Source organism: Homo sapiens, chromosome X (assembly GCF_000001405.40).
Source record: "Homo sapiens chromosome X, GRCh38.p14 Primary Assembly".
NCBI lineage: Eukaryota > Metazoa > Chordata > Mammalia > Primates > Hominidae > Homo > Homo sapiens.
This window is the reverse complement of record NC_000023.11, coordinates 23934504-23941212: the sequence shown is the minus strand read 5'-3', so window position 1 is coordinate 23941212 and position 6709 is coordinate 23934504. Positions and strand designations below refer to the sequence as shown.

Sequence of the window (6709 nt, the reverse complement as noted above, 5' to 3'; positions counted from 1 at the left end):
GAGACCAGCCTGACCAACATGGAGAAACCCTGTCTCTACTAAAAATACAAAATTAGCCAGGCGGGTGGCGCATGCCTGTAATCCCAGCTGCTCAGGAGGCTGAGGCAGGAGAATCGCTTGAACTCAGTAGGCGGAGGTTGCAGTGAGCTGTGATCGCACCATTGCACTCCAGCCTGGGCAACAAGAGCATAGCTCCGTCTCAAAAAAAAAAAAACAAACAAAAAAAACATATGTGAAAAGTTTAAATCTATATGTTAGCTATTATTACAACTATGTGAAAAATATGTGTGCATTTAGACAGATTAGAAAGGTATAAGCAAATGAAAACAGTTGTTATATTATGGTGATGGGATTATGTGTAATTTTACTTTTAAAAGGATTTTCGGTGATGTGGTTATATTATTTAATGTGAGTTAAAAGAATTGATAGAAGACATGATCTCTGGGAGCAGAAGCTAGTTGTGCCTTAATATCCACTACCATTTCTTTTATGACAACAGAATTTTAGTTGGGTACATAAATGCCCCAAACAAAAATACATTTCCCAGCCTCTCTTGGAGCTAGGTGTTACGATGAGACAAAGTTATAGCTAATGAAATATGAGAAATGGGAATCCTGAAACATAAAGAGTATGTCCTTCCTTTGTCTTTTCCCTCCATCTTGCTACCTAAAATCTTCCTTTGTTATTACACACACTATAGATAGAGTCTGATATGCATTTGATCAGATGAGAGACTACATCCCAAATTAATGCATGAAAACATGTGTGACTCATGAGGACAAATAGCTGTTTTTCCATTCAACCAGTGTCCAGTACAAGCTCTGAAAACAAGGGGCTTATCATTCCATTTTTGAATATCAAATGACAATGCATTAATATCAAAGAGTGAACATTTATGTTAAATATATTCCAGTGAGAATCATACACATTTACTCCAATATTCTTCATCATGTAAGAGAATATTTTAGCAGAGAATGAGATCCTTTTATAGGTTGCCATGCCTGAATTAGATCAGCAATCAACCTACACGTTTTAAATGTTAAGTAAAATTAAAAATTGGATCTTTAAAGTTCAATAAATTATTGCAGTTTAATTATCATAGCCTCTGTGTAAAGTTTGATATAATCCAACAGCCTGGATCACAAAAGAAATCAATAATTTATACCATATTAGGAATGACAATTTATCAATTGAAAATGAAATTGATAAATATTACTCCAAATAGACTTCATACTTGAAAAATATCCAAAATAGATTAAAGCAGACGCAACATTCTGTCTCAGGTGCTTCCAATGCTCAATAGTGATTAGTTATGCCATGTCATGCCTCCTGTAGCAATAAATCCATTATTACTTTTATTATCATTCAGAATAGGTCATTCACAAGCTGTTCTGTAAAAATGAATTTCAACTTTAAAAAAGACACTAGAAGCTGACTCAAAAGGAGCCTTTCATTCTGTGAATTCTAATATTTATGCTAAGTATGGCCTGTTCAGATATTTGTTTAAATGAAGGAAAATCAAAATCGAATAAAAGTCCCAGGGACTAATCTCTTAAACAAAACTGTATACTGCTAGTTCAAGGGCATCTAATAGAAAAAATTTGTTTAGATTAAAATTCTGTCAGTAAAAGAATTTGTTCCTATGGCAATTCAAAAAGGCTTAAAATATGTCACACATTTAGTTAAGAGAGCATACTCAGGACTTATTCTATGTTATTTTCCTTTATTACACATACTCATTATTTATAGACAGACAAGCAGATTGTTAAACAACTTTGGTTTTCTGTCAATTAACTGTTCATTATCATGATGGAGAATCACCAGCTGCCAAGTTTTGATACCAGGAAAATGAGTCCTTTTTTCTTTTTCCAGCTGACACTCTGACATAGATTCCTTAGTTTTCACAATGTCAAAAGATGGAGTGGAGATGATAGTTATCCTTTGTACCTGATGGGCCCGTTTTTGGTTCCTAGGCAGAATTATCAATAAAAGTAGGAAGTGTTATATATTTGGTTTTTACTACTTTATATTTTAATGTTTGACTATATTTATCCTCATCTCAAAATATTCACAGCGATTTTTTAAATTACAAAGTAATAACATGAATACATGTCTGTTGTAAATTCCTATGATGTAAAAGTATACTGAGGCAGACTTTATAAAGCATAGTTCTTAATAAGTTTAGATAGAAATGACTTCCATTTTGAAAAAACCACCATCAGAGATGTGCTGAATCAACAGTGTCAACATACAGAGAAAATAATTTTTTTGCCAACTCATGCTGATATGGAGCCAAAACAGCTGGTTTTTATCAGAATTGCCACCAATATTAAGAATTTTTTAAAAAATGTTACCAAGATGAAATTCACTTTATACTACCTATGATAAATGTGTCAAATGTGTTTCAGCCTTGAACTTTAGATTAGGAAAATTTCATTTACGTAAGTACAGCTACTTTACAGACAGTTTGAATATTGTCCAAAACAATGAATTCAGTACAAGTTAAACTTACAGTCACCTCAGAAGTATTTTTTTCTTTAGCCAAATAAACTTTTCTCATTTTTTCAACTTTCATTTGAGCTTGCTTGGATCGACGACCCAGAAATTTAACTTGATTTTGCTGTTTGTAGGGCCGATATAGAGGTTGGACAGTTAAGTATGGACCCCTAGAAAATGTTTGTATTAAAAACAGAAAAATCACACAGAATAAAATATAAATGCAAAGCAAGTTCCAAATTTCATTAAAGCTTTCTCTAGCAAATATATCACAGACCTTAGCAACATTGGAGCAGCATTTCATGTAAGCTTTTAGGTTAAAGTTATCATTTCTGCTTGAGTTTACATAGCACAGTTCTTTATCTGGCACTTATGAAGGTGTACAGGTGATGATATTGACAGCAAAGATGATAAAAATTATAAAACCTGTTATCAATTTAAAATTAGCTTTCCTAGAAAATACTGTGTAGTAGCCATTTGAATCTTATTTTTTTACACCATATACTAACACAAAAAAGTATTACATTTCGTCCAGGCGCAGTGGCTCATGCCCGTAATCTCAGCACTTTGGGAGGCCGAGGCAAGCGGATCACCTGAGGTCAGGAGTTCCAGACCAGCCTGGCCAACATGGTGAAACCGTCTCTACTAAAAAAAAATACAAAAATTAGCTGGGTGTGGTGGCGGGTGCCTGTAATCCCAGCTACTCGGGAGGCTGAGGCAGGAGAATTGCTTGAACCCAGGAGGCGGACTTTGCAGTGAGCCAAGATTGTGCCACTGCACTCCAGCCTGGGCAACAGAGCGAGACTCCAGCTCAAAAAAAAAAAAAATTACATTTCATAATGGTTGGAAAAACAAGCTGTTTTTAATCAGTGCTGGGATCAGATGCTATGTCCATAATCCCCTTGTCCTTACCATTATAAGGAACATAGACTCAACTTTCAATGCCAGCATCTGCATCACTCAGTTTGAAAATTTTCTTTGAAAAGAAAAGCCTGCCAGCACGGTGGCTTACACCTGTAATCCCAGCACTTTGGGAGGCCAAGGCGGGTGGATCACCTGAGGTCTGGAGTTCGAGACCAGCCTGACCAGCATGGAGAAACCCTGTCTCTATTAAAAATACAAAATTAGCCAGGCGTGGTGGCACATGCCTGTAATCCCAGCTACTCAGGAAGGCTGAGGCAGGAGAATCGCTTGAACCAGGAAGGTGGAGGTTGTGGGGAGCCGAGATTGTGCCATTGTACTCCAGCCTGGGTGACAAGAGTGAAACTCGGTCTCAAAAAAAAAAAAAAAGAAAAGAAAAAAAAGAAAAGAAAAGCAAGCCCATGTGCAGGGGAGGTCAAAAGTGCCCGAGAATTAATATGTCCCTTCCTAAGCAACCCTTAACCAATGACTGATGGGTGTTGATGTATCAATACTGTAATTCCCCTGCCCCCTGTGGGATAATTCTGAGTTGCATGTTCTACATTGACTCTGACATTCCCGGGGGAGATTAAGCTCCAGTTACCCACAGTGGTAACTTGCTTGCTAACACACACTGTTTTGGCTGCCTTCCACTTTTTTACCCTCTCCCTTCAGTTGTTCCTGGGATCACCTCCTAAATCTCTGTCTCAGGGTTTGCTTCTGGGAGATGCTAAACTACAACTGCATTCAAAGATGGCTTTATGAAAGTATTTTTTCTCTTCAATTGATTAATAATTTGGCTAATTATTTGGCTCTTAAATTACTTATTCTTGGATACTCAGTAGGATAAATCCAAATAGCAGGGAGATCAGGATTATATATGGTGGCAGAGAAAATTACATCATTTATTTGACCTTGGTGGTAATAGGGTTAAATTCTATATTCAGTGCTCATATGGATGAGTTAGAGAAAATCTATTTCATGACAGACTGTGCCCTAAACCAGGCCATCTGTCTGGCAAATGTATAGCCTTGATCATAAAATATATGGGTTAAATTATGTTATTGGGTCAGAATCACTCATCTCTACTCCTGAAAAAAAATCCCCAGCATGTTTGCTTGACAGTGGGTCATCAGTGTCTTCTTCATGTACAAAGGGAGTATTTTTCATTTCAATTATAAGAGTGTGAAAATAGATTACCAGTAGGTCCTCTTACATATTATTATCTCTTTCTTCTTTTAAGAAAGCAGCTTAATTTGTAAATAAGATGGGCTAAGTGAGGCTTAGTAATGGAAAGAGAAAAGGAATATAATTGGAGTTGTTATATTCTGTCCATGTTGTTTCAGATCATAATACATCTATTTTGCTACAACATCCATTTCTACAATGTGAACTGGCTCACATACTATTGGTAAAAAGGGGAATGACGTCACTCTAATTTATATGCAATTTATCTCAGGCAAGGGGAGCCAGAGTAGCAAGAATAGAATTATAACCTTCAGCAAAAAAGGAAAAAGCCCTCAGTTCTGTGCTGCATGGGCAAGGGGAGCCCTTTTGACTGTATTCATGAAAACAAAAATGAGCACCTGCATCAAGTGCTGTCTTCCCAGAGAGGCACACCCCACCCCCAACTCACCCTCACTGCCCTCCACCCTACTCCTCCCCTACCCCCACTCCAGCCTTGGATGGCTCCTGGTTCTCGGCAGATCGCACTGCCTCTCATGTCCACTTAAAAGGCAACCATGCGGCCGGGCATGGTGGCTCACACTTGTAATCCCAGCACTTTGGGAGGCTGAGGTGGCCGGATCACAAGGTCAGGAGTTTGAGACCAGCCTGGCCAATATGGTGAAACTCATTCTCTACTAAAAATACAAAAATTAGCCGGGCATGGTGGTGGGCACCTGTAATCCCAGCTACTCAGGAGGCTGAGGCAGGAGAATCGCTTGAACCCGGGAGGCAGAGGTTGCAGTGAGCCTAGATTGCGCCATTGCACTCCAGCCTGGGCAACAGAGTGAGACTCCGTCTCAAAAAAAAAAAAGGCAACTACGCTGGCCTGGGGTCCCACTTCCATGTGCACTGTCTCCATGCCCACTAACTGCTCTAATGAAAGAGTTGCCAGCATCTCCACTCTATGGTTGTTCATTTTTTTATATTTTCTGTGGCAGCCTCCAGCTACACTGAGCTGCCTGTCTGGTGGTACAAGTTAACTCCCCAAGTACCAATTGTCCTTTTTGTTAGTGCTCTGTTTACAAAATTGCATACGTTTTGAGCAATCTGCCCCAACCCTATTTTCCCCATATATCCTCTTATCTTTAGTGAGCTATCTGGCAGAATGTGAACATTTTCAGATATGCCCCTAGTATTGTAACCCCAGTGAAGAATCTGTTTTACCTAATTTCAGAAACAATCCGTAGCTGGTGCTTATGGATCTCTTGCGTTACTGGTCTCTGTAACAGAAACTTCATTTCATTTCGTAGACGGTTTGAGATCACTCCAGACTCTGAATAATGAACTATGTCATACATTAGCATTGTCCTGGGAATATTTTCAAGATTTAATTTGCGCCAGCTGTTATTTCTGCCGCCAGAAAATGCAGGGGCCTCATCGAAAAAACTGCGATACTGTAGGGAAAAAACAAGAACGATTAAGTTGGCCAGGTGCGGTGGCTCATACCTATAATCCCAGAACTTTGGGAGGCTGATGCGGGTGGATCACCTGAGGTCAGGAGTTCGTAGACCAGCCTGGCCAACATGGTGAAAACCCATCTCTACTAAAAATACAAAAATTAGCCAGGCGTGGTGGCTTGTGCCTGTGGTTCCAGCTACTCGGGAGGCTCAGGCAGGAGAATTGCTTGAACTCGGGAGGCGGAGGTTGCGGTGAGCCAAGATCGCGCCACTGCACTCCAGCCTGGGTGACAGAGTGACTCCATCTCAAAGAGAAAAAAAAAGAAAAGAAAAGAAAAAGAGAAAAAAAACAATTAAGACTGATTAGTTGGCCAGGTGCGGTGGCTCACACCTGTAAGCCCAGCACTTTGGGAGCCTGAGGCAGGTGGGTCACTTGAGGTCGGGAGTTCGAGACCAGCCTGGCCAACATGGTGAAACCTGATAGCATTAGGAGACATACCTAATGTAAATGACGAGTTAATGGGTGCAGCACACCAACACGGCACATGTATACATATGTAACAAACCTGCACGTTGTGCACATGTACCCTAGAACTTAAAGTATAATAATAAAAAAATACAAAAATTAGCTGGGCGTGGTGGCGCACACCTGTAGTCCCAGCTACTTGGGAGGCTGAGGCAGGAGGATC

At 39.5% G+C, this 6709-nt stretch overlaps 1 protein-coding gene across 4 annotated transcripts in view; it reads right to left on the bottom strand.

The window, feature by feature from the left end:
* The window catches only part of CXorf58 (chromosome X open reading frame 58), a 31578-nt gene continuing 26572 nt past the window's right edge, over window positions 1704-6709 (bottom strand). For 3 of the 4 annotated variants that reach the window (XM_011545473.3, NM_152761.3, XM_011545474.3), the window contains 3 exons: window positions 5788-6017; window positions 2513-2666; window positions 1704-1969 (listed from right to left, as the gene is read on the bottom strand). In XM_011545473.3, the coding sequence (XP_011543775.1) occupies window positions 1910-1969; window positions 2513-2666; window positions 5788-6017 (444 nt within the window). In that variant the 3' untranslated portion in view covers window positions 1704-1909. The remainder of the gene's footprint in view (window positions 1970-2512; window positions 2667-5787; window positions 6018-6709) is intronic. The other variant, NM_001169574.2, reaches the window with a different exon arrangement.